This window comes from Homo sapiens, chromosome 20 (assembly GCF_000001405.40).
Source record: "Homo sapiens chromosome 20, GRCh38.p14 Primary Assembly".
NCBI lineage: Eukaryota > Metazoa > Chordata > Mammalia > Primates > Hominidae > Homo > Homo sapiens.
Genome location: NC_000020.11, coordinates 17,440,425 through 17,467,501, shown reverse-complemented (window position 1 = coordinate 17,467,501; position 27,077 = coordinate 17,440,425). Strand labels below are relative to the sequence as shown.

At 43.6% G+C, this 27,077-nt stretch overlaps 1 protein-coding gene across 3 annotated transcripts in view, besides 1 other annotated feature; it reads right to left on the bottom strand.

Moving 5' to 3' along the window:
- The window catches only part of PCSK2 (proprotein convertase subtilisin/kexin type 2), a 258,472-nt gene that overhangs the window by 17,077 nt on the left and 214,318 nt on the right, over positions 1-27,077 (bottom strand). For all 3 annotated transcript variants that reach the window (NM_001201528.2, NM_002594.5, NM_001201529.3), the window contains 3 exons: positions 13,545-13,760; positions 11,054-11,154; positions 1,949-2,176 (listed from right to left, as the gene is read on the bottom strand). In NM_001201528.2, the coding sequence (NP_001188457.1) occupies positions 1,949-2,176; positions 11,054-11,154; positions 13,545-13,760 (545 nt within the window). The remainder of the gene's footprint in view (positions 1-1,948; positions 2,177-11,053; positions 11,155-13,544; positions 13,761-27,077) is intronic.
- Positions 16,793-17,318: an enhancer, noted in NCBI's record as "NANOG hESC enhancer chr20:17430829-17431354 (GRCh37/hg19 assembly coordinates)". NCBI's record gives its function as "activates a minimal SCP1, AML or CMV promoter by ChIP-STARR-seq in naive H9 embryonic stem cells {active_cell/tissue: H9 hESC(naive)}" and the evidence as "EXISTENCE:reporter gene assay evidence [ECO:0000049][PMID:30033119]".

The window sequence follows — 27,077 nt, the reverse complement described above, 5'->3', positions numbered from 1 at the left end:
AGCCACTGCATGGATCCTGCAGCAGCAATTAGTCATCACTGCTGCTCTGAAATTATTGTGGCCATTAGACTTGCCACTAGAGCTTTTTACTTAATGTGCTGACAAGGGGACATATATTTCAGCATGAATTTATTTTCTAATTGGTTTCAACATAATTGGTTTCCTTTGCAATCCAGTGCATTTTATCTAATGAATTTGGAGAACATTAGACTGATGGGGCCCATAGACGTCACCATGCTGTCAAAGGGAGACAGGGCACAAAGGTTGAGAATTGCTAAAGCAGAGGGTCAGAAATGTCAAAAGTATTGTCTAAGTTGGTGAAGTCAAGATTGGAATTCAGGTCTGGGTAACTGAGTAGAAGAGATGCAGCAAGTCTAGGACCAATGAAGAGTGGCGAGGAGGATAAAGTCTGAGAGGGGTTGGACTCTGGCCAGGCTCGATGGTCCTCGGAAATATGACCCTGGCAGGGAATGAATTTTACCACCATTTAAATGATGTAAGCCACGGAGGTGTATTCTCAAGGTAGAATGAGAATGAATGAGCTACGACTACACATGGTGACCTGGACGAATCTCACAAGCCTCATGCTGAGAAAAAGAAACTGGACACAGTCCAGTCTGAAAACTGGTGAAACGAATCTACAGAGAGAGAAGCAAAAACAAAGGGTGCCTGTGGAGCGTGTGGACGAGCTGGAAGCAGGTATGACGAATCTTCCTGGGTTGATGGAATGCCTCATCTCTTGATTCAGTGGTAGTTACCAGGGTGTATACATTTATCAACACTCAAATGATACACTTAAGTTCTGTGTATTTGATGACATGTAAATAATACCTCAGTGATAATAATAAAAATTACTATCTCCATTTTACTAATGCATCAAGGAGGACAGAGAGAAATTAAGAAGTATCCTTACTGACCAATCCACTTGCCAAGGTGGGGCAGTTGGAAGGGAAGTGGGTGCAGTTGACTAACGCTGTGGTTTCTGTGTAGGGAACCCCATACACAAATCCCTCCAAGTGGCAAAATCCACCTCACTCAGCGGAAAATCAAGTCCTTAGATTGTCCCACAGGTAGAATGAATAAACGAATTGTGTTATAGTCATACACTGGAACACTCTTCAGCAATGAGAAAAGCTGTAAGTACACATTAAACATGACTGGATCTCACAAACATAACTCCAAGCGAAATAATCTAGTTGTAAAACAGGACATAGTGTATGATTCTAGTAAGTATGGAACAGGCAAGTTAAGCTATGGAGTTAGAAGTAAGAATATGGCTACGCTGGCATGGGGATGTTAATGGCAGTGGTCACGGCAGGGGGCCTTTGGGGGTGTTAGTCATGTTCTCCTTATTGAGCTGGGTGATGTTTATAGTGGTTGATTTGTGCCCTTAGAAATAATGGCATACATCACTGAAACAGTTAAGGCTCACAACCAAAAGCAGGGGTTCTGTGTTCTATGTAAATGGTGCCTCCTGGATTTATGCAAACCTGCAGCTCTGCTTGGAAACTGGTTGTCCCTGAGTCAAATCCAGGCCGAGGATTGTGGCTCACACCTGTAATCCCAGTACTTTGGGAGGCCAGGGCAGAAGGATCACTTGAACCCAGGAGTTTGAGACCAGCTTGGACAACATAGTGAGGCTTTGTCTCTACAAAAAATAAAAAAAATTAGCAGGGTGTGGTGGCGCATGCCTGTGGCCCTAGCTACTTGGAAGTCTGAGGCAGGAGGATTATTGAGACCAGAAGTTCAAGGCTGCAGTGAGCTGTGATCACGCCACTGCACTCCAGCCTGGGTGACAAAGTGAGGCCCTGTCTCAAAAAAACAAACAAACAAACAAAAAATACAGTTGACCCAAACATGAAGAGGGAATGTGATATTATGCCAATGCCATGGAGCCATCTCAGGGGCACTTTCCACATGCAGCAGAGGGACCACTACCCCCACTTACTCAGGGTCCTGCACGGAGCCTCCCACACAGTGGAATCTCTCAGGCACGGTTTTCCAGTCTTTAGCCATTTTCACCATGGCACCTGCATCAAGGACCCCGTAGCCAAAGAGGTGATTAAATTCCAGGCCGACCCCATTGCGCCGCCACTGATGGACCTCGTCGTGAAGCTGGTTCCGTTTGGAGGTGAGCACAGTCAGATGCTGCATGTCCCGCCAGGTCAGACCCAGGCTGGATACAGGAAGCAGAGAGCAAGAGGGCAAGGGCAAAAGGCAGGGTGAGAGAGGGAGAGAGGCACAATGATTAAGAGAAATATTACTCAGGACACAGACCTCTTGTAAGATTTTGGAATCTCTGTGAACTCTCAAATTCAAGGGAGGGTGTCCATGCACCATTCAAAACCACTATATAAGTCAATTAAAGAAATCTTCTTGCTTTTCTTACTTACATAAATTGATTTCAAAAGTCTATTCTAACACACACACCGGAATGGCTAAAATGAAAAAGACTGACAATGTTAAGTGTTGAAGATGTGGAGCAACTGGAACACATGTACTTTGTGGATGAGCGTGCAAGTAATTCCAACTAAACTGGAAAACTGTTTGGCTGTATCTTCTAAAGTTAAGCTTAAGCTATGGCCTGGAAATTCTTTTCCTAGGCATATACCTGACCAAATGTGTACATATTCACCAGACCTGTGTACTAGAATGCTCCTAGCCCCAAACTGTGAAACCCCTACATGCCATCCAAAAGATAGGGAGTAAACTAATTGAGGTGTAACTTATAGAATGTGGGGTACTATACAGCAGTGAGAATGAATGAACTCCAGGTACTCTGAACAACATGGAAAAATCTCACAAATACCATGTTGGCCTAAAGAAGCCAGGCAGAAAAGAGACCATAAAGTATGATTCCATCTGTTTAAAATATAAAAACAAGAATGACTAATCTATGCTGTTGGAGGTCATGTTAGTGGTCAGTCTCGTGGGGCAGTGACTGGAAGGGGATACAGGGAGCTTCTGAGTGCTGGTCTTGCTGTCCCTTCATCTGGGAACTGGCATGTGGGTGTGTTCCATTTTTGAAAAGGAGGGTACCAGTTCTTCAAGGGTAGAGAAATTATATTTAGCATATTTATATCCTTAGTGTCCAGGATGGTCCTTGGCACATTGTTCAGTGAATAAACTAGTCTTCTTGTAAATGTTATTGTTTTTGGAAATTAGTGTCTATTACTACACATTGTCTATGTTTTTCAAATTGCAAATCATGATTTGTTTTTGGGCCAGGTTATCGCACAGGTTGTTGGGACTGCCCATGAAAATTTTCTCCTAGGGGCATTGAAGATCTCATGCCTAGGGCCTCATCCCAGACCAAGTAAATCAGAATCTCTGGGAGTGAGACCCAGGCATTGGAAACTGTTAAAACTTCTCAGACCATTCCAACAGACAGCCAATGTTGAGAACCAGTGATTTAATGGTTGGTGTTATTATTTTAAAAAATGAATGGAACAGAATAGAAAAGCAGTATGCACTGCACATAATACAGGAAGCTATTTTTTCATGAAATACTTGGAGGGTAGCTGTGTGTGTGTGTGCTGAGCTGCAGTGCAAAATTTATTACTCACCGAGGATTCTGGTCAAAAAGTTGGCAAAACCTTGCACTACAGTTCTCTTCAGAAGTCAAACAATTCAAAGGACCAGGAGCAACATAACTCATTTGATAAAATTTCAACATATGCAAAGTTCATTGGTTGGAAGATCTGAATCAGAACCAAGAGTTCAAATGATCCATGTGCTCTTGAATGCAGACCTTCTTCTATTAAGAAGCAAGTTCCACACTTGGACACAGGAAGGGGAACATCACACCGGGGCCTGTCATGTGTGTGTGTGGGGGGTGGGGGGATGGGGAGGGATAGCATTAGGAGAAATACCTCATGTAAAGGATGAGTTAATGGGTGCAGCAAACCAACATGGCACATGTATACATACGTAACAAACCTGCACATTGTGCACATGTACCCTAGAACTTAAAAGTATAATTAAAAAAAAAAAGAAAAAAAGAAAAGAAGCAAGTTCCAAGGAAGGTCAATGCTTATTTGAGGAGATTCAGAACATGTCTTGGACATATGGTGTAAAATGATGTAAGTGGTGTAAAATGGTGTAAATGATGTAAAATGGTGTAAAAGTTCCTTAAGTTGATTATGGCTAAAAACTGAGTGTTTTGCTGGAAGGGGATTCTGAGTTTATTAATCTCAGAAGTGTTGACAAATGAGGATCTAAATGACCAGAGGGCTGGCTAGCAGGTTTCTCATTTCTCATCTTTGCCATGAAAATGGGCTGTACTTCTGATGCCTGGAGAAGGGCTCCCTTAAATGTTTCTCTGCAGATTTATTCTCATGGGGTGCATTTTAGAAAGAGAGAGAGCATGAGAGAGAGAGAAATAATGTTTCAGAACAAGGAACTTTTCACTTTTGAGATAAACCACAGCATAGTTCACTCTCCAGTGTAACTGAGTCTATGACACTGTTTGACCTGCTATTTGCATATGTCTGAAGAGTAAAACCAGGTTCCTTCTAGTATCCCTTCTGAATGATTTAGGAATTGACAGACTACAATATTCTGTAAAGTAGGTATTTATTTCATCAACCTGCTTTAATTGTACCATAGCAGCCCAAGAATTACAGGTGATAGTTATTAAATAATTAAAAAATAAATTTATGGAGTATCTGCGATATACAGGTCACTGTTTTGGAGACTGTAGGACAAGAAATGTGACATGTTCTTCCCTGTTCTCAAATGTTTTATATGAGTCGGGAAAATAAGATGCAGATATATGAGAAGGTACTGCGCAATGAAGTGATTGTATGGATGTCTGTTGAGTGTCTACCACATTCAGGCATCGTGCTAACTCTGGGCATGTCAGACGGATGTCCCTGTCCCCACCAGCTGATAGCCTAGGGGGACAGAGGGACAACTCAGTATTGAAAATGTGAGGGCTGTCATGATGGGGGAGCTCAGGATGCTGAGGGAGGCATCAGTGGAGCCTCTGTGTTATCCTAGTCAGGAGTTCTCACTGTGATCCTCAATCCCCCTGTGTCAGGACCATTAGTGACATATGTGAATTTCCACCTGTCCTGAATCAGCATCTTGGAGATTGTGGGCCTGAGAATTTGCATTTAATCCAAATGATTCTTCTGTACAGTGATGTTTGAGAACATTGGTAGTCTGGGACAGTGGTTCTCAACCTTGTCTGCACATTGGAATCACCTGGGGATGGTTAAAAAAATGATGTCCAGGTTCAGAGGTTTTGATTCCATGGATTCCTCCAAACATTTAGTATTTTCAGTATGCAGCAAACCTCGTTCAGGGGAGAGCTTCCTAACTTCCTGGACGGCACTGGTGGGGGTGGGGGCGCTGGTGAAAAATAGAGCTTTCCAGGGGCTCCCCTGGGGATTCTGATTCTATGGATCTCCAGTGGGCTTAGGGTATCTGTGTTTTTAACAAGCACTCCAGGATTCTGATCATCAGGAAATCTGAGAAACTTGGGTCCAGGGGTCAGCAAGCATCTCTTAGGAAGTGGCTGACCAGCAGACTGACTTTTTGTTTAATGTTTAATTTTTAATTTTTGTGGGTACACAGTAGGTGTATGTATTTATGGGGTACATGAGATATTTGGATACAGGTATGCAATGCATGATAATCACATCAGGGTAAATGGGGTATCCATCACCTCAAGCATTTATCCTTTGTAGGAACCTGACTTCTAACAGAATGGATTGTTTTTCTCGTGTGCAAGGCTGTTCCCTCACCATTCTCTTTCAGAGCATAGTACTTCTATTTACAGCATCAAGTTCCCCTGAACCCAATTAACATTTTCCTCCTAATGATCAAGGCAGCAAAAGTAATTTAAAGTCAGCACATGCATCTTTAGAGAAATTGAAAATGGAAATGTTTTAAAGATGATGCTGTAGTCTTAAGGTTGGAGGAATCACTTCTCCTAACATCTGGTAAATTCTAGAAGTCAACAGGAGAATTTTAATCCCTTTACTTGTTGGATCTGATCTTTATCTGACAATGTAAACTGTGTGACCTGGAGCAAGTTGTTTCACTTCTCTGGGTCTCGTTCTCTTCATCATAAGAGATGTTTGGAGTCGTAAAAGATCCATTCATTTTCTTTCATTTTTAAAATTCTGAGTCTATCCTCTAAATTTTGATAGGATTAAAAAATAATTTCAAAGGTTGGATTATTTCCAGTCTGAGAAAAATAATGCATTTGTGAGTCAAGCTGGTATTTTCTCCATAGCCTTTGTTTGCTCACGTCCTATAAGGACGTGAGAGGAAATTCAGTTTTCATGACTCCCTGGTGTAGTTGTGGTGTGGAAAATCTCATCTCAAAGAAAGTGAAACCTGATTTTGTGCATCATGTTTGAGGAAGAGCTAACTCATTCACTGCAACCCATTGCCATGGCAGGATGAGTGGTGAGCCCCACAGGCAAGACAGTGGCAGGGCCTTTTCTATGTTCCACCGAGAGCCCAGTGGAACAGGCATCCTAATGCTTAAAGCCAACTGTGTGAACTCGGATAAGTTACTTTAACAATTCGAGCTCTAGCCTTTACATCTTTAAAATGGGCATAAGGCCTTATAGGTTTGTTGCAGGATGTAAATGTAAATTATGTATGTAAAGTACCTAGCACAGTGCTGGACACTGAATAAAAAGACTTTATTATTATTAATGATAACATATATCACATATATCAGAAGTTAAAGTAAATTAGATTACTATTTCCTAAGTATTGACCTCAATATTTAAAAGTATGTAAATGAACGTTTTTCAGCTTTAAGGCATATTCAACCTTAAAAATCACCAGACATCCAATTAAAATATTAACTTCCCTAAAAAAACAATATTTCAGAAGCAGAGCTAAAATATTCCAGGAAGTCATTGGAACCTTATTGATGATCTAACTTGCTACCTTTTGTTGATAAGACAATAGAGATCCAGAGATGAGTGATTGTCCACTTAGATGCCAGAAGACATTAGCAGTTGTATTTCCCTCCATATCTATCTTTTCTCCTTCCTTATTAAGAAAACTTCAGTTTTATTCAGAACAGCAATGCATTCAGCTATAAAATTACATTTCCCAGCCTCCCTTGAAGTGTGGCGGTGGTCATGTGACAGTTCTAGCCAATGAGAAATAAGCAGAAGCCACTGGGTGGGGCTCCTTGGAAAACCCCTTCAACATGGCTGACTCAGCTGGTTTCCTTCTTTCTTTTCTTTCTTTCTTTTTTTATTTTTCTCTTTCTTTCTCTCTCTCCTTCTCTCTCTCTCTTTTATTTGTTTATTTATTTATTTTTTTGCCCTTTGTGCTTCTCCTTTTCCTGCCTGAAATGTAAACATGGTGGCTGGAGTTCCAGCACGTCTAGAGAACATGAAAGTGGCAGAGCAAAGGAGCAGAAAGCTAGAAAGAGCTGGATTCCCTGATTCACAATGGTACCCCGGTACCCTAAACCAGCCCTGGGTTCCTTATCTCTGTATTTTCTTTCACATGACAGAGAAATAAACCCTTGTCTCTGTTATTATTTGGATTCGTTGTTTCATGCAGAAACATTAAATCTTGACTGAATACCAACACCTAATCAGAGGCAGAAGCCAGCTACCCACACTCTGCACCCAGAGTCATAGATTCACAGAGCTATTGCCTTATTGATCATCCTCACACCCTAGTTCACAGATCAGCGACAGGCTGGCAGCTTAAGTATTCCCGGGGAACAGGCATTGAAAAGTCAGGTTCCTGGGCCACCCATCCCTAGGGATTTGTATTCTATGAGGCTTGGGTGAGGCTTGGGAATGTATTTTTTAAAAAACTTTACCCAGTGTGCTCAATTTCACTAGCTATGAGGGAAGTGCAAATTAAAACTATAATATGACTCCACTGCACATCCATAAGAATGCTAAAATATAGAAGACTAATAATACCACATTTTGGCAAGGATGTGGGGCAACTGTAATTCTCATATACTGCTCAAGGTAGGGTCAATGGGTACACCCACTTCAGGAAACTATTTGACGATATCTACTAGAATTGCACATATGTATATTAATGACCCAACATTTTGACTCCCTAGTAGACGCTCAACAGAAATGTATCTGTATGTTCACCAAAAGGCATGTACAAGAATGTTCCTAACAATATCACTCATAGTAGCCCCAAATGGAAACAATCCAAATATCCATTTATACAATGGAATGATATTCAACAATGAGAATGAACGACCTATAACTACATACAGGAACATGGAGGAATCTCTTGCACTGCTGAGCAACAGGGCACATAAATCGTCTGTTTCTTGATTTGGGTGCTGGCTACATGGGTCTGTTCATTTAGTTAAAATGTCATGGAGCCACACCTAATGAATTTCTTTCTATATACTATACTCGCTAAAGAGTTTACATTAAAAATCCATCCCCTGGAAGGTCAGTTTTGGAAATGTTGTTCCAGTCCAGCATGTGGACCACTTTACTCCAGATGATTTTCTTGAGTCAAAAACTGATCTTCTTATGACATCTACCCCTCGAGCCTAGCTCACCCTCTAGGACCACAGAGAAAGCACCAGGTCATATGAGAGAAACCTAAATATTCGAAGGTGGCAGTCATCCCCCACTAAAATTCTTTGAAATTTCTCTGATATTGGTGATACTGGGAGATGGGAGCAATATTTCCTGTGACTCAAGTAGGCATTTTCAAGCATTAGGCAGAAAAGTACATTATGATATTAAACTACAAAGTGACAACTGGTTAGGAGAGAGAGATGGTTTTCTTTTTCTCCCCTACAGTCATGATGGGGGAAGTGTTGTTCTCTCTCTTTCAAGGTCCTGATGGACATACATTTAGATAATTTGTTGTTATGCATGAGGACTTCCTGTAACCTTATCTCAAGATAAGAGAGAGATGAGCTTTGGGACTGCTCTGTGGAGGCCCTATTCCTCATCCCTCTGGGCTCTCATTTGGAGTATCTCATCCTGACCAATGGTTTTCACTTTTGGCTATTGGAGCCGCTTTGCCTAAAGCTAGAGATGCCTTGGAGTTTACTTCTCCAGAGTAGCTCTTAGCCGATGACTGACTCATATAAGAATATGACAGTCCTGCTTCCTTGCCTGGAGGTAGAACAAACTCTGAGGCCTAATTTACACTCGGGATTAGACTGAGGCCAGAACTTTTGAAGTTGAACCTTTGCTTGGATTCTTCCCCATCCCTAACTTGTTTCCCCTACTCCCTTACTGCCTTTCCTGGGATCCCTTCCTTAATAAATCACTTGCACCAAAATCTCATCTCAGGGTCTGCTTCCAACCTCAGAAAGTTGGTATTTTGAAGAATTTTAGGACCGGCTCCCGTGATGGACTTACCCACAAGCTGCCAGGTGTTATATTTTTTTCCTCTTTATGCCAGCAGAGAATATTAAGTTCATGATCATTGCTTCAAAACAAAGCATGCCTGAATGGTGACTGCATTCTTTTCTGTAGGATATCTGGACGTATGTGCTAAAAGAATGGTGACTAATCAAGGCAGAGCCATGAATCTCTAGGAGTCCAGCAGCCTCACTCCCCCACTTTGATTTATTTAGGTCTTCCATTTGTGTGCCTATGGATCTAGGCATAGGCATAGGATTTTGTTTGTCAAAAATCCAGAAGACTGTGAGTCAAGTCCTGACTTCTGAGGTTGAAAGGGCAACCGGAAACCCTTCTCGCTTTTGGAGCACTCCTGTTCCCTGGCTCTGCACAGCTCAGCTACAGGCAGCAGGCTGTGCTAATTGTCTCCTTGCGGATGCAGTGAGCAAGGCCAGCTCAGGCTCCAGGGCCCACTCAGACCCTGAGATGAACAGTTTTATCTTCAGGAAATGTACATTGGATATGAGTAAATTTTGTTTTCTGTGCTTGATAGGGCAGAGGTCTCTGTGCCTAATAGTTGAGCTTTGACCAGTGTCTTGGCATCATAAATTTTCTATCTGAATTTTGTTAGAAGAGTCAAAGTTTAGACTTGTCCAAAAAGAGAAGTCACTCTCAATTTGGGGTCTTATCTGTAAAGGGAGGATAATTATGCCTTTTCTTGTGAAGGTAGAGGGTTGAACTAGGTAATCTGTTGAAGCCCCTTTCTATTCTAGGAACCAACTCCTGCCTCCTTTGCAAATCAGAAAATGCACTGCCTATGTGGAGAGAGACAAGCAGGGCTGCCTAGAGATTGATGCTGGGAGCCCTGGTTGCCTAGCAACTCTACTCTCCTTCCCCAAGAGACTGAATCCAACTTCTCACAAGTTGCTGGGAACTGCATTCTCTGACAATTCCCTACACAGCCGGCACTTACACTCACACTATGTGTGTGGTGTCTGAAGCCCATGTGTTCATTCTGTGAACATAAGGCCAGCCTCAGGTATCATTAAAAGAAAGTAGAGTAGCAGGTGGGCAGGTACCTCCACTGCTACTCAAATCCAAGGTGTGTCCAGCAGTAGCAATATGTGGCCTCTCCATAGGATGGTGAGGACATAGGAGATGGTCTCCTCTTACCTTCAGCTTGGAAGGTCTCCCAGGAAAGCCCATATCTTGGTCTACACTGCGTGACTTTGCCTATCTTGTTTCAGTGTTAAAAAGTGAATCCACTTCACAAATTAACAAATCTTGAGTGGGACCACTTTGTTTGCCACATGTTCTGAAACACCAGCCTGGCAATTTGATTTGTCTTCAAGTAGCTGATTGTGAATATCACTGGAGTAGAAGAGCCCAGGGATACACAGAGGATAGAGGGGTAAATTTGATGAAGAAAGAAATATCTCTGTGCCTTCACTGGGTATCTGAGTAAGTTGCTAATACGTGCTGCTGGGTGTTGTGTGCTCCCAGGAATGTGGTTTTATGGTGTGTGCGTGTGTGTGTGTATGCACACGCACGTGTGCTGGTGGGCACATGGGCCACTTAGAAATGCACAGCAGAGTTCATTGGCCCTGACTATTCATGGCCTCTCACATCAACTTTTCCCTCCATGGACACCTGGCATGTGGGCAGAGAGACACGTGTTAGTCCACCCTGCAGAGCTGGCCCTGGACCCAGAGCTATGAACATACTTAGCCTCCAGAGCCAGTGCAAACACACCAGCTGCCTCGGGGGCAGCTGCAGATGTCCCAGAATGCCTCAGAGTGCAGTTGCCGTACAAATCTGTGGTTGCCTGGAAGGGAAGATAATGAGTAATGAGTGGATAAATCACGCTATTTTGAACCCCCGCACAATGTGGAGCAGGGGATTATCTACTCCTTTTATTTATTCATTTATTTATTGAGACAGCCTCACTCTGTTGCCCAGGCTGGAGTGCAGTGGCATGATCTTGGCTCATGGCAACCTCCGCCTCCCAGGTTCAAGCGATTCTCCTGCCTCAGCCTCCTGAATTAGCTGGGATTACAGGCACGTGCCACCATGCCCGGCTAATTTTTGTAATTTTAGTAGAGACAGGGTTTCGCCATGTTGACCAAGCTGGTCTCAAACTCCTGACCTCAGGTGATCCACCTGCCTCAGCCTTCCAAAGGATTACAGGCATGAGTCACTGCCCCCAGCCTACTCCTTTTATTTAACCTATGCTTTGTTCCCAAGAAGATTAAGATGAAACTAAGGATAAACTTAGCATCCATATGCCTCTCTTTTGCCCTAGATTTTATCTGAGCTTCCTAGTAGCCCACGTAAAAGGGGATATATAGTCAGTTATAGTTACAGTGTCCACAAGATAAATGAGTTGTTCAAAGAAGCATATCTGTGGCTATTCCAGAGACTACAGAGAGATTTATTTCCTGAAACCTAAAAGGAAACATTATGAAGTGGAAAGTGATGTCAATACCCCCACCCTAGTTTTGTTGCATTGGGACTGGCCCTTGAAAGGCCAAAGGCCACTTCATCAGCATTTCTTTTTCCTTCTTGGGGGAAAGAAGGCATTCCCGAAGAGGAAAGAATCAACATGCTCAGCTAAAGTCTCTCTAGAAGGGCAGGCTATTAAAACATGTTTCTCTACATCTAAAATCCACGGAGAGATTCTGAGATGTGTTGAGTCAAGACAACCCAATATGTGGGTATCACCTCCACAACTCTTATTTAGAGGGGAGACTGGTAAACAGATTTTTAAAGGACTTTCACAAAGTGAAAAACCTCATTTTCAATGTTTGTGAGAGCCAGGGTGTTCATTAAAATCATGTATAAACGACGGGAATTCTTCCTCTGTCTGTAGGATCCTCAAGAGAGCTTATTATTTTGAGGAAGAAATTACCAGGGAGGTTTAAGGGCATCTATTGAGCAAAATTATAGTACTCACAGGAAACTCAAGGCCTTTAGCCAGCCCAAGTAGAAAGAGTCATAAATACGGGTCGAGGACAAATTTACACCACTGAGAGGTCTTTGGGGTAGGGAGTGGAGCTTTCAGGCGTGAGAGTGAAGTGTCACCTCACCTGTCCCTGTCTGCTCTGCCCTTCTCCCTTTCTGTCCATACAGCTTACAGGATAAGAGGGGTCAAAGCCCCCTTCTGTTTGGGAGGAGCTGGCACATTCTTCATCCTCCCCAAGACCAAGGGGGAATGCAGGAGGGCTCGTGGGAAGGACAGGCTTTTAAGGTCTGCGTCCCTTCCAGGTAAAGGGCTTCTCCTCGCTCACGCAGGGGCATGGCCATCTTGCCAAGTTGGGATCCCACGTGGGAGCGTGGGATCGAAACACTGGATGGTACTAATGATTTTGTCCTGAGCTCCTGTCCTCCTGTCTCAAGAAGCCTCAGTGGAGATGGGTGCAGCCAGTCAGGATATAATTCATGCATGACTACTGAACCACCTACTAAATCCTGGTTTGGAGGTGTAAGAAAAGGCTGATCTGTGAGCAAAATCTCCAGAGAGGAAAAGATCCAAAAAAGCTTATTATGCTTTACAGATGATGTATTTCCCAGGGGCTTGGAAAATTCACCATTATACCTAGTTGCCAAGAAAGGAAGATTTTTTTTTCTTTGCTCAGAAAAGAGCAACAAACAATAAATCTGTGATTATTAATCTTTTTGTTCTAAAAATCATGGCTCCATTTTAAAATATGATGAAAATCACAACTCTTTCCCTGAGAAAATAACAGATGTGTGTGCAATTTTACGGGGTTTATGGATCCAGAAAAGTCCATCCGTGAATGTTGTTTTTTAAATTGCTATAAATAAACAGATGGGTTCTTGTTTCAGACAGGGTTACAGTGTGATGCCTTGGTTCTTACAATGAGTTAGTTATTCTTGTAAGTGATGGAATGGGGCAACTGATTGGTAAACCAGACTTCATCATTACTTGTAAGCCAGAAACAATAAACAAGAAAATCTATGGAAAACGATCCAGAAAGGAGTCCTCACCGATCATGCTACTAGCTCGCAGATGGGAGGTCTGTGCTTTGTTAGAAAGCAGGACTGGGCATAGAGAAAAGGGGTCTTCCCTTCAGAGCCTTAGTTCAGGCTCTGAGGGAGGGGACAGGAGGGGAGCAAGCCAGTGTCCCAGCATCCCACCCTGACACAGAGGTGCAGTGGCCCTAAGGAAACAAGGACAGAAGGGGACGTGCTCACCACACCGGCCTCGGGGTTCCTTTTCCTCCCGTTGCTGAAGGTGGAAGCCAAGGTGGAAGAGCAGCTCTCGTCGTACAGGGCAGTCCTGCCGTCGTTGATGGCTGAGTTGATGGAGATGGTCCACATGCTGGAGGCGTAGCCGTCGCAGTTGCAGTCGTCATAGCTGCCGCCGTCCCCGGAGGCCCACACGTAGATGCTGCCTTTGCCGCCGCGGCCCTGGGGAGAGCAGGGGAGACGCTGCCGCTACCCACAGCCTGGGCTGCGAGGGGGCAGGGGAGGTCTCCAGCCCAGGGGTTGGGCTTCTTCAGCAGTTGAACCTAAAGACTGGGTGCACTTTTTAAACTGGGTTGGACACCATATCCTTCTGGCAGGGCATTGTGGGAAACTTTTTTTTTCCAGGAAGAATTCAATCTAAAAAAGTCAACTGAATTTACAATTTAAGCTGGGGATAATGAGGTAAGAAAATTGGAAGAACTGTCTTAAAATTTACAAATAAACTGCTTTTTAAAAAAGCTAGAAAGGTGGTACATGCTCACAATGAAAAGTCTAACTGTATGGAAAGGAAAATAAAAAACAACTCTCTAGAGGTAATTATTATCTCATTCTTACATCTCTTTATGTATCAGACATTTTTTAGTGAAAATGCAAGTATATGGACATATAATTTTTCTTAGCTACATAAGCTATACAAAACATTTATAGAAGATATATACCTTTTATTTTAAATAGCTATATATCAATATATAAATTTAAATATGATATGTAGACATTATAAATATAAAGCATACATTTACTCCATGATATATAAAAATCTTACGTGTGTGTGCATATGTATATATTCTTTTTTATTCAATTGGATACTAGAATCCTTTTAAACACATAATATATGACATTTTACTTGAGCAAGGGAACTCCAAATGTAGGAGGAAAGTCTAATATGATCAAGTAAAACACACAGTGAATAAAACCTTAAACACACAGTAGTAAGCACAGTAGTTATTGCCACATGCTAATTAGTTTAAATGGCAAACTTTGCATAAGTCCCTACAGTTAGCATGGCTCTTCTCCTCAAACCATGTTCTTAGAGGTTCTTAAAAATCCTTTTCCTTGTCTTCTGAGTATTTTCCTCTCTACCTAAACAACCCAGGATTGGACCATTAGTTTCTTGCTTCCCACTTTCTTACCCCAAGGCAATGGGGCCTGGGGCTGCTTAGTGTTCACCTGTGGGCTGGGAGGGTGGATAGGAGTGCAGCCATGCAGTGCCGGAGGCAAGGGGCAGGTGCAACCTCCAGCCACTCCACAGCCTGGCCCAGGGTGGCTTGGTTACCCTCTAGAGGGAGAAGACAGAAGAGATTGTCAGGGAAAGTCTCTCCCTGTGTGGTCACCAGGTGTCCATGGTCCTTACGCTTGAAACTGACACAGAATCAGTGGTTTAAGAGTGGAGAAGCCAGAAGGAAGAGAGATGACTGGATTACCTCCAAGTGCTCTCTGCCGCCTGACAATCAGATGTGACATTTTCAATCACTTCTAACAGCACTGGGAATTAATCAGCCTGTGATTGATTGAATCGACAAGTGAACAAATATTTATTCAACCACTAGCTGGGAACTATTCTCAGCATCTTGGTAAATCTATGCTGGAAAACTCCAACCAAAACAAGGAACTGCTCTCAGAAACCAGGACAGCGAGGGAAATAGATATCCCTACAGTTGGTGTGGAGGATCACACTCTCAAACAGACTCAGATTTGGGCTCGGTATCAAGAAATAGCAAAAGTGTGGCCGGGCGCGGTGGTTCATGCCTGTAATCCCAGCACTTTGGGAGGCTGAGGTGGGTGAATCACCTGGGGTCGGGAGTTCGAGACCAGCCTGGCCAACATGGTGAAACCCTGTCTCTACTAAAAATACAAAAATTAACTGGGTGTGGTGATACATGTCTGTAATCCCAGCTATTCGGGAGGTGCAGTGAGCCGAGATTGTGCCACTGCACTCCAGCCCGGGTGACAGAACGAGACCCCATCTCAAAAAAAAAAAAAAAAAAAAAGCAAAGTACAACTGATGTGTTTCACAATAAATGGGTGAGTGAGGTTGACCATCTGCAGAACTTTCTCCTGAATCAGTCCATATGTAGACTGCTAGTGAGATGAAGCAACGTTTGCTAAAATGAAGGAAATCGATGCTAAACATTCTCTTCTTTGTGTGGGGAGTGTGGTAGATTGATTGTGACCCTAATTATTCATGATTCCCTGTATTTATGCCCTGTGCACTATGCCTTTGCAGCCCCATCCATCAAGAAGAGTGGTCTATTTCCTACCCCTAGACTCCAAGCTGGCTTTATGTCTTGCTTTGGCCAATAGAATGTGGGGGAAAGTGATTCTGTATCAGTTCCAAACATCAGTCCCAAGAACTCCTATGTTCTCTGATCTCTCCCAGAACTCCGTTGCACCATGAAGATAAGCCTAGGTTAGCCTCCTGATTGATAAGAGAGAAGTATTCCAGTCAAATTCACTGCCCCTGCTGACAGCTGCCAGACACAGGAGGGAAGCCATCCTCGATCCGTCAGTCTCTAACTCACTCTCCTGAGATTAGCCTAGCCTGGTGCAGATCAGCAGAACAACGCAGCTGACCTGTAGACCCAAGAGCAAAATTAAATGATTGTTATTTTAAGCTACTGAGTTTTGGGGCAGTTTGTTATGCAGCCAGCTCACTGTTACACAGAGAGCAATTGTCAGCCTGTTTCTGAACCGTGAACAGTAAACAGCAAACGTTAATTTTGTTTTAAACCATGAGACTTGCCCACAAGAATGCTTCGTTTTCTAGGAATATTAAACTTTGTTTTCTTAAGCTAGATAGGACACATGAAGCAATAATAATTGTGTCCTTGCTTCTGGTGATTGGGTTTTAGCACCAAAAAGTCTCTGGCTTCTGGGGAAGATGGGCCAGTGAGGAAAATTCTCTAGTTCTGGGGGCAGAAATGAGTGGGGAAGGGACCTCCATAAGAGGACTGAGAGCTGGTTATGGGATGGGGCTGTTGCTGGCATGCCACCCTACTTTGGTTTGAACTTATATGTCCCCCCCAAATTCATATATTAGAACCTGAGACACAACATGATAGTCTTAAGAGGTGGGACCTTTAGGAGGTAATTAAGTCATGAGAGTTTGGTCCTCATGAATGGGATTACTGCCCTTATAAAAGGGCTCCAGGGAAATAGCTAGGCCCCTTTTGGCCCTTCCACCATGGGAAGACCCAGTGTTTGTCCCCTCTATGAGATACAGCAACAAGGCACCATCTTAGAAGCAGAGAGTGAGCCTTTGCAAGACACTGAACCTGCCAGTGCCTTGATCTTGGGCATCTGCTTAAGGCTTGATCCATTTCTGCCTCTCAGCTTCACCTGAACAGGAGCTAGGCAGAAATCGAGACAGAACAACTATGGCTCACATCTAAACCATAACCCGTTAGAGGAAGAAGTGCAGAAAACAAAGGTTGACTATCACAGCAAGCATTTCCATAGCACTTACTACATGCCAGGGACTTGTTAAGTACTTCACATATTATCCTATTCAGTCTTCACAGCCACCCTACAGGCAGCCCCATTTACACTGGCCACATAAAGGATAAAATACTTAGGAAGAGCCGGGCGCGGTGTCTCATGCCTGTAATCCCAGCACTTTGGGAGGCCGAGGTGGGCGGATCACGAGGTCAGGAGATCGAGACCATCCTGGCTAACACAGTGAAACCCCGTCTCTACTAAAAATACAAAAAATTAGCCGGGCGAGGTGGCGGGCGCCTGTAGTCCCAGCTACTCGGGAGGCTGAGGCAAGAGAATGGCGTGAACCCCAGGGGGCGGAGCCCGCAGTGAGCCGAGATCGCGCCACTGCACTCCAGCCTAGGCGACAGTGAGACTCCGTCACAAAAAAAAAAAAAAAAAAAAAAAAAAAAAAGGGAAGAAATTCAACAAACTTAAAAAAAAAAAAGCTAAGGAAGTGCTAAATAAGGCTTTGAACCTCTCTGAACTCTATGGAAGGAGGGACGAAGATGAAGATTTGATCCCATGGAAAGATATTGGCCATATTCTCGAATAGAAAGACAGGATCACAGAGATGTCAATTTTCCCTATGTTAATATATAAATGTGCCAGGTGCAGTGGCTCACGCCTGTAATCCCAGCACTTTGGGAGGCTGAGGCAGGTGGATCCCCTGAGGTCGGGAGTCTGAGACCAGCCTGACCAACATGGAGAAACCTCGTCTCTATTAAAAATACAAAATTAGCTGAGCGTGGTGGTGCATGCCTGTAGTCCCAGCTACTCGGGAGGCTGAGTCAGAATTGCTTGAACCCAGGAGGCGGAGGTTGCGGTGAGCTGAGATCGCGCTATTGCACTCCAGCCTGGGCAACAAGAGTAAAACTCAGTCTCAAATATACATATATATATATACATACATACATATATATATGTATATTTATATATATGTAACATTATCCCAATAAATATACAATATATCAATTGAAATTCAGCCAGGCAAATATTGCCACACTTGGCAGGTCAACAGAGGGAATTTTATCCAGGGAATAGGTGTTAAAGGAAAGCCTAAAACCCAAAAGGGAAATGGGAATTCACCCATGGATTAGAGGGTGGCCCTGGAGCTGAAGGACAAAGGGAGGCCATGACCCAAGAGCCAGCACTGTGGGTGGGGCTGTCTGCTGGGGGGCGGGGTCTCCACCCTAATCCTGCAGCTCATGCTCAGTGAGTGGAATGGCTGTCAGCTGCCTGAGGCAAGTAGGCCAGCCTGATGGCTCATGCCTGTAATCCCAGTGCTCTGGGAAGTGGAGCCTTGAGGCAGGAGGAGCACTTGAGGCCAAGAGTTTGAGACCAGCCTGGGCAAAGTAGCGAGAGGCCCACTCACCCCCATCTGTACAAAAGAAAAAATTAGCTTGGCGTGGTGAGGCACACCTATAGTCTTAGCTACTCGGGAGGAGCCCAGGAGTTTGAGGAGCTGGAGTCTGCAGTGAGCTATAATCACACCACTGCACTCCAGCCTGGGTGAAAGGAAAAAAAAAAAAAAAAAAAGGCAAGTGCATTTAGGTGAAATTAAGTGAGTGGTGCAACTCCACTTTGAATTCTGCCAGTCTTTTGGAGTTTAGTGGGATTACAGTGTTTCTCAAAAGTTTTTACCAAATGGAAACTTTTAACCTAGGTACTATGGAGTGTACTTAACCACCCTGGTTCTCAACTAGTGTGGACTTTTTCTCCAGGATGCAGTGATGGAGACATTTTTGGTGATCACAACCATGTGTGTTTTACTAGCATCTAGTCCATAAAGGCCAGGGAGACTACTAAACTTCTATGCAAAGGACAACCTCCTCACCACCGACAAAACAGTATTTTGCCCAGAATGTCCATATGCCCAGGCTGAGAAACCCTGCTCAGTGAGAGCAGTGAGTTGGAACTTGCTGGGCATGGCCTTAAGTAGCCTCTCACAAGCCCAAAATTTCTGAAACATTCAAGCAATTTTTTTATTTTGCTCATAATATAAAAAGAATGTTACAAATTGCTTACCGTCAGCTAAGGTGACATTCCAGCTAGAGACTGGTGCAGTGGCTTGCTGTGTCCCCAGCGCATTGCCTACATTTGAGGAGGTGGAAATCCCACTCTGAGAAACTTGTGGCTAAAGTGAGTCAGTCCCTCCACCCTAACCAATGGGTAGCCACCAGGGTTAATGACCAGAACAGGTGCTGGTCTGGGGTTGGTATGGGTGCAGGGTGCAGACCCCTGGTGAGGCAAGCCTGGGAGAGCTTATCTTTTTGTAAACAATTATAGTAATTTTTATTTTCCAGTCACCTTAATTTCTTAATACAACATTAGCATACCTTGGAAAAAGTTATTGTATTCTTTACTATGAAAATAATATTTATTATAGAATAATTGGAATATAGAAGATGAAGGAAATAAAAGTCCTTTATAATCTTACATGAATAGATAATCACTGGTGATATTTTGTGGATTCTTGCCAATTTTACATATAAATGCAAAGTATAAGAACGGGCTTGAAAGTGAAATTGGGATAATAAAAATAGATCAACTTTCTTGGCCTGCTTAAAATGTATTTCTCACAATTTATATAATTGACTTTTTTTATGTGATTAAATACTCTTCTACACCATAATTTTTTATTAGTTTTATGAAATAGCCATTCCGCAATTTATTTACACCTCTTCTTGAATGTACATGGAATGCTGTCTCTAGTTTTTAAAAAAGTGCTTTATGTTTAAAATGAACATAATCTTATATATGTCTTTGTATGTTTATTTTCTTAGGCAGTGTTTCTAAAAGAGGAAATTCTGGGTGAAAAAAAATGAATGACGATTCTTAGTCCATCTGCCATATTATTGTTCTTGATAAAGTTTGTTAACAGTTTATATGTTTACCAGCAGTGCATGAGAACTCTATATTCAGCTCATATGCGTCATAATTTAGAATTGTCATTTCTTAAAAATAGTTTTGCCAATTTGGTGGGTAAAAATAGTACCTTATTGTTTTGAGTTATATATTTTTTCACTAAAGTTGAATTTATCTTTTTGTGTCTTTCCTGCTCATTTGTATTCTTGCTTTATTATTTAGCAAAGCCCCAAGCCCCAAAAGATAATATGCTTTGCCTATGTTTTTTTCTTTCATAGATTTTTTTTTTTTTTTGAGACAGAGTATAGCTCTGTCACCCAGGCTGGAGTGCAATGGTGTGATCTCGACTTATTGCAGTCTTTGCCTCCCAGCTTCAAGATATTCTCCTGCCTCAGCCTCCCAAGTAGCTGGGATTACAGGCACATAGCACTGTGCCCAGCCAATTTTTATTTTTCTTTATTTATTTTTTTTAGTAGAGATGACGGAGTTTCACCATGTTGGCCAGGCTGGTCCCAAACTCCTGACCTCAAGGGATCTGCCCACAACAGCCTCCCAAAATGCTGGGATTACAGGTGTGAGCCACCTCGCCTGACCTCATGGTATTCCTTTTATTGGTTTGTAAGAGCTCTTCCTGTATTAAGAAACTGAGCTAGATTTTCATTATCTATGTGCATATATATTTACTCAGTTTTTCCTTTTTCTTTGATGTGTTGGATTTAGACTTGCAGACACTTTTCCATTATATTACTTTAATCTGTTATTAAAATATGAATTTTAAAATAAACACATTTTAAATTGCACATGAAACAATGTATTGATTTATGAATATTGCCTTTCTGCACTCGTAGTTCATGAAAAATTTTATTCAAATTATTCATGAACATCTTTGGCAAATTTTATTCAAACTATTCACAAACATCTTCGACATTTGCACATTTGTCCTCACTAGGTCAACTGGTTACCTCTTGAGCTACCTAACTGTTTCGGTACACATTGTGGTAGTCATTGCTGCTGCTTGCTAAATATTGCAAACTGTCCACGGTCTGAGCCCATGACCAGGCCTCTTTGTGGTTGGGTGAGGTCTTATAAGCCATTTTAATCAATGAGTTGTGAGTGGGAGTGATGATAGATGGTATCCTTTGTAGTTTGGAACTTTCACTGGTCAGTTCCAGACTCTGCAGAGTCCCTGTGGGTTCTGTGGTAGTTCAGCGGGAGTAGGGTATCAGGTTCTCTGGAAAAGCCAAGCTAAGGATGATGCAGTTGCCCTGGCCTCTGATTTAAATCCTCACCTCGATTCAGTGTTTGATGGCGCCTGTGGTTGTCTTTAGTTATTGTCTGGTTTTCGTGTAACCACCTTGGAGGTCAGAATCCTGTGTTATTCTGTCTCACTGCTCAAAGGATCCAGCCATTGTAGTGATGAATCTTTCTGATGTCAGAGGTGCTGCTGAGTTTACATTCATGTCAACTTCTAACCTCGGGTGAATTTCTCACTGGGCCCAGGTGGGCCAACGCTACTAATAGCGCCAAAGGGTGGGTGACCAACTGTCTTGGTTTGCCCAGGATTGAGGGGTTTCCTGAGATGTAGGACTTTTCAATGCTAAAAACAGGAAAGTCCCTGGCAAAATGAGACGGCTGGTCACAAGGATCACCCGAAACCCACCAGACTTTTCTCTTAGTTCTCTTTATCCCAGAAATGAAAGGAAGGACGGTAACGGCACCAGCTGTTTCCAAGGCTGAACTGCAGATTCCACGCTGCAGCAGTTCTGCTCAGTTGCGACCTTCATCTGGCTGCAGAGCATAAATCTGGGCTCACAGAGTATTCGTGAGAGCTCCTTGGCAGGAGGCATTCATCGTCTGCCAGAGGCCCTGGCACTCGCCGCCATGGTGTACGACCCGTGGCTCTGATTAAATTTCAGCAGGAGGCACTGTGGCCTCCCCTCGCCCATGCCTGATTAATCACTGTCTCCCCAGGCAGCTCTCTGTCCCCTGCTTTCCTGGATGGTGGTTTTCTTGTAAGTGGTCCCTGTCCATACATTCCAGCTGGAAGAAGACCTGAGTTCTGTGCTTTGCCCTTTGCAGCCCCTTAGGGAGTAAACAATCAATGCGCTGTCTCATCTGTACCTTAGAGAATTTTTGTAGCCTTGTCTTTAAATATTCCTAAAATATTCCCTCCAGCAGCAACTCTGAAGAGTGATTAAGAAGAAGTTGGGATGTAGTCATCAGAGCCAGCAAAAGGTGTGCCAGGGTTGCCCTGGGTGGCTGCATTTCCTCAAGTTGTGGAAAGACGTTCATGAATCAGTTGTCACTTTCAAGACCTTCTAGCGTCACCCGAATTCCCCTTCTGGTTGTCAGAGCAAAATAAGATGCTGTGTCCCATAATGGCTGGTTTTTGTAGCTCCCTCTTTGCAAGGGCTACATCCTTTTCCTGAACAGTAAACACATCACCTTGCCAGTGCTTTATTTATCCAGAGAGTGATGACTCGAAGTCTCAGGTTAGGTTTTGCTTAAGCTGCACTTTGGGAGTTGTGTGTGAGCCCATATCCCTTGGGCTTTAGAATTCCCTGTGCCTGGGAGTTTCCAAATGTCAGCATATGCATCTTTTTGTCTAAGGGCTTCCTCCCAAGAGGCTGAAAGGCTGCTCTGTGCATCTGTCCTCAGGCTGAAAGCACTGGGGCATTTACAAGGTTTTGGGAACAAACCTCATCAATGGGTTTTATTCCAGCTCCTTTCCCACAGGGTGGGATACCTTTGGGGTGTGTTCTCAAGTTTTGGTGTGGTTTTCTGAAGTTTCCCAGTGGCATTAAGCTCCAGTTGCTGACAGCGATGACTGGCAGGATAACATACCCTTAACTGGCCCTGTCTCTTTCCTGCCACACCTCCCATTCATCACTGGTATTCTCTTCACCTTCCCAATAAACTACTTGATCCCAAATCTTGCCTCAGGATCTGCTTCTAGGAGATCTAAAACTAAGACAGAAGTCAATTATTGAACCCTCTGGTAATTCAGGGGCCTCTGACTGTCACCCTCTTCCCATATACAACGTGAAAAATGCTGTAACTGTAAACCCAACACATAGACTACTAAGCAAAAGAAAAAAAGGATTTCCTTCTTGCCCACTCCTCACTGCTTCTCTCAAGTATTTACTAAGCAAATGTAGGAGGTGCAAACTTCAAATCCCTAAGGAGTCAGGTAGGTGATGTTTGTGTGAAGCAGCCATCAGACAACTGGGAATGGTGGGATCTATGGCAAACAGTGCATGCCCCGATAAAAGTCTCTTATCCATCTCCTCTTTGTTCTCTTCCTTTTAATCATTACCATGTTGGTCAAACAAAACATATGTACAGGATGATAAAATTGAAAGACAAACGTAAGAAGTGCCTTGTGTAACAGGTAATTCTCTGACTCCTTTGTTTGTGTGAAGATTGCCTTTCAGAAGTGGATTTTTCCTTAGAGTAGACCAGGCAGTGGAAGTCACTAGGAGAAAACCTTCGCTAATGCACAATGAACCCTCACTTCCAAAATGCTACAATGTTGTCCAAAAAATGTCACCTTGAAACAAGGAAAGATTTATTCCCACTGCTTGGGGAAATTTATTCCCATTGCTTGGGGAAATTTATTCCCATTTCTTGGGGAAAAGTCAAATGTGAAATAATGTATTTTTCATCATACTCACTCCACTTTCTAAAAGATGTACTTGCTGTCATCTGAAGATCAGTCATAACAATTTTTCTCTTAAGCTTCAGCGGGCTCGGCATGCTTTGCAGGACAATCACACTTGAAAGGGCCTTTTCACCTGCAGCCAGGGAGGCTACAGATGGAGGAGAGAGAAATATCCTGCTTCGAGAGGCAGTGGAGAAGTGCAGAAGTCCGTGGAAAATGACAGGGGCACCCAGGGATGTGGAGCGCTGCCACCATCTGCACTGTCAGTCTGGACAGAGGGCACACATCTCCTACCTTCCCGACTCTCTTTTGGCCTCAGGTGTCAAAAAAAGTGCCTCTCAGTGAAAATCCATGTCTGCTGAGGAAAGGGGGAATCTGCCAACTGTTCCCCTGGGCACCTGCTGTCACCTGGTCTGGGGCTTGGATGTGTAACAATTTCTCTCCAGTCACACAATGAATAATGCAATAAGGAAACAGGCTGTCTGTGCATCAAAAATTTCATCCTAAATGCTTCTTAAGGAGACCAGGCATTGAAACAGGGTAGGGACGTCACTTTCCTGCCACCCGATCCTGTTGGCAGACATTCTCTGTAAACCGCATTGTGTCACTCAAATGTCAGGCTCCTGTTGCTGTTTCAGATGGGTTGAATTTCAACAGCAGACTGGCATAACCTTGTAATAAAGCGTCTTCACTATTTCCTGAACAGTGTAGCAATGGACATTTAGCTGCTGTCACCATGATGTTCACTTCGAGGACTCTGTTTCCCATCTCATAATTGTGTTTTTGGGATCCTTGTATTTAATGTAAAAGTGGTGAATTCCTTAAAGTGTGAGATCTTTCCTTGACTTAGAAAAGTTGTCCTCCACAGTCTTGGGGTAACTTAGGACTCTGGTTGGGAAACTTGTCATTTTGGGGAAACAAAACCTTGGGGTTTCAGGTGTTTTTCCTCCAGCTTTTCCACTTCGCAAAGGGAACTTCCAGACTCATGAAGGCAAGGGTGGCTGTTACTTGCAGGGAGAACACATAGGTATGTAAGTGCTATAATTTAAGGGAAGTCAGAAGAGTCCTCTAACGAGAGGTGTGCTATTCAATGTTTAACAACCAGCTCCCTGAAGGGGGCGTAAAAGGGCTTTATTTTTAGTGTTCGTCAATTTCCATGTTGAATTTCAAGCTCCCAGTGTGACGTTATTGGGAGCATTTCAGCACAGCACTCTCCCTAACTTGGAAACATGTTTCTCTCCTAGGACTGCATCGTGAGCATTTTCACACGCTCATTCCTTCGAGGAAGCTACATCAGAGAAGGGAGGGAGGGAGACTTCTCAAGGTCCTGAACTAGAAGAAAAAAGTCGTAATTGGATCAACTATTGACCATCTTGGCTGTAAAGCAGAGGGCCAGGTGACATCAAGGTGACCTTGAACAGTGAGCAGGTCATTCCCGCACTGCCAAACCTCCTTTTTGATGATCCATTCTAAGACTGGAAGGTGCATTAGTTTGCCAGGGCTGCTACAGAAGGACCACAACCAAAGGACCAAAGTAACAACCAAAGGACCACAAACTGAGTGGCTTAAACAACAGAAATTTCTTGCCTAGAAATCCTGGAGACGGAAGTGTCAGCCAACCCTGCTGACACTTCCGTCTCCAGAACTTCTAGGAATAGAATCCATCTCTAGAAGTTCTGGAGACATAATAGATTCAATTCCATTCCTAGAAGTTCTGGAGAAGGAATCTATCCCATTCCTTTCCCAGCTCCCGGTGGGCTGTTGGCCATCTCTGGCTCTCCTGGGCTTGTAGATGCATCCCCAGCCCCTCTGCCTTCATCTTCACATGCTGTTCTCCCTGTATGCCTATCTGTGCCCAGATGTTCCTGTTCTTTTTTTTTTTTTTTGTCTTTTAAATAAGGACACCAATCATATTGGATTAGGGGCCCATCCTACTCCAATATGACATCATCTTAATTAATTATATCTGCAATGACCCTATTTCCAAATAAGGTCACATTATGAGGTATTGGGGATTAGGACCCCAACATATGAATATTTGGGGACACAATTGAACCCACAACAGAAGAGGTGCTGATGCCGTTTGGCTGTGCCCCCACCCAAATCTCATCTTGAATTTCCACATGTTGTGGGAAGGACCCAGTGGGAGGTAACTGAATCATGGGGGCGAGTCTTCCCCATGCTGTTCTCTTGATAGTGAATAAGTCTTATGAGATCTCATGAGATCTCATGGTTTTAAAAAGGGGAGTTTCCCTACAGAAGCTCTCTTCTCTTGTCTGCCACCAGGTAAGACATGCCTTTCACCTTCCACCATGATTGTGAGGTCTCCCCAGCTATGTGGAACTGTAAGTCCAATAAACCTCTTTCTTTTGTAAATTGCCCAGCCTTAGGTATGTCTTTACCAACAGCATGAAAACAGATTAATACAGGGGCATACAGTCTTATATTTCTGTTCAGACCTTTGAAAGAATTCAACAGCTCAGAAAAAATTACTCCATCAGATGCCTAAGAAGACTGTGAATATAGACAACTACCCTTTGATGTCCTCAGAGGAGAAAGAAAGGGGTTTTATTAGAAACCATCTGACTGGCCTCTGACCCTGCAAGTTCCAAACCTTCCCAACAGAACCACACTTCTTGGTTTTGGAGGCTCATCTTGGGGTGTTTCCCCTAATTTTGAGCCAAAATTTCCCTGAAAGCATCAAGGGCAGGTGGCAGCTGGAGCAGAGGCTGACAGATTGTAACAAGCAAGGGTGCCAATGGGGTGGTGTCCAAGTGGAAACACCTCTAAGCATAAGCCTCAAGGAAGGGGAAGGGTGAGTTGGAGAGCCGGAGCCACGAAACCGGGGAGAAGCAAACAGGGTGAGTGTGGCCTAGCCCCGTGACCGCAGAGCCCTCCTGTGGCTTTCCACACATTCTTGGGGCTGGCATCCTGCAGCCACCTTGGATCAGGATGTCTGTCTGGTCCCAGGCACTATGAGGTCTTGCCTGAATCTATCTCATTGCCCTGATCCCTCTTGGTGCATTTTTTTTTTTTTTTTTGAGATAGAGTTTCACTCCTGATGCCCAGACTGGAGTGCAATGGCATGAACTCAGCTCACTGCAACGTCTGCCTCCCGGGTTCAAGTGATTCTCCTGCCTCAGCCTCTTGAGTAACTGAGATTACAGGTGCCCACCACCACACCTGGCTAATTTTTTGTATCTTTAGTAGAGACGGGGTTTCACCATTTTGATCAGGCTGGTCTTGAACTCCTGACCTCAGGTGATCCACCCGCCTTAGCCCCCCAAAGTGTTGGGATTACAGGCGTGAGCCACTATGCCAAGGCCCTCCTGGTGCATTCTTACGAGAAACCAATTTATTTGGGCTACCTAGGCCTCTGTTTCTTCAACACAGAGACAAATGGCGTGTGGCTCAGTCATCACACAGCCCACCCGTCCAACCCATTGTCTGATGAGGAAATACAGGGCTGTTCCTTTCTG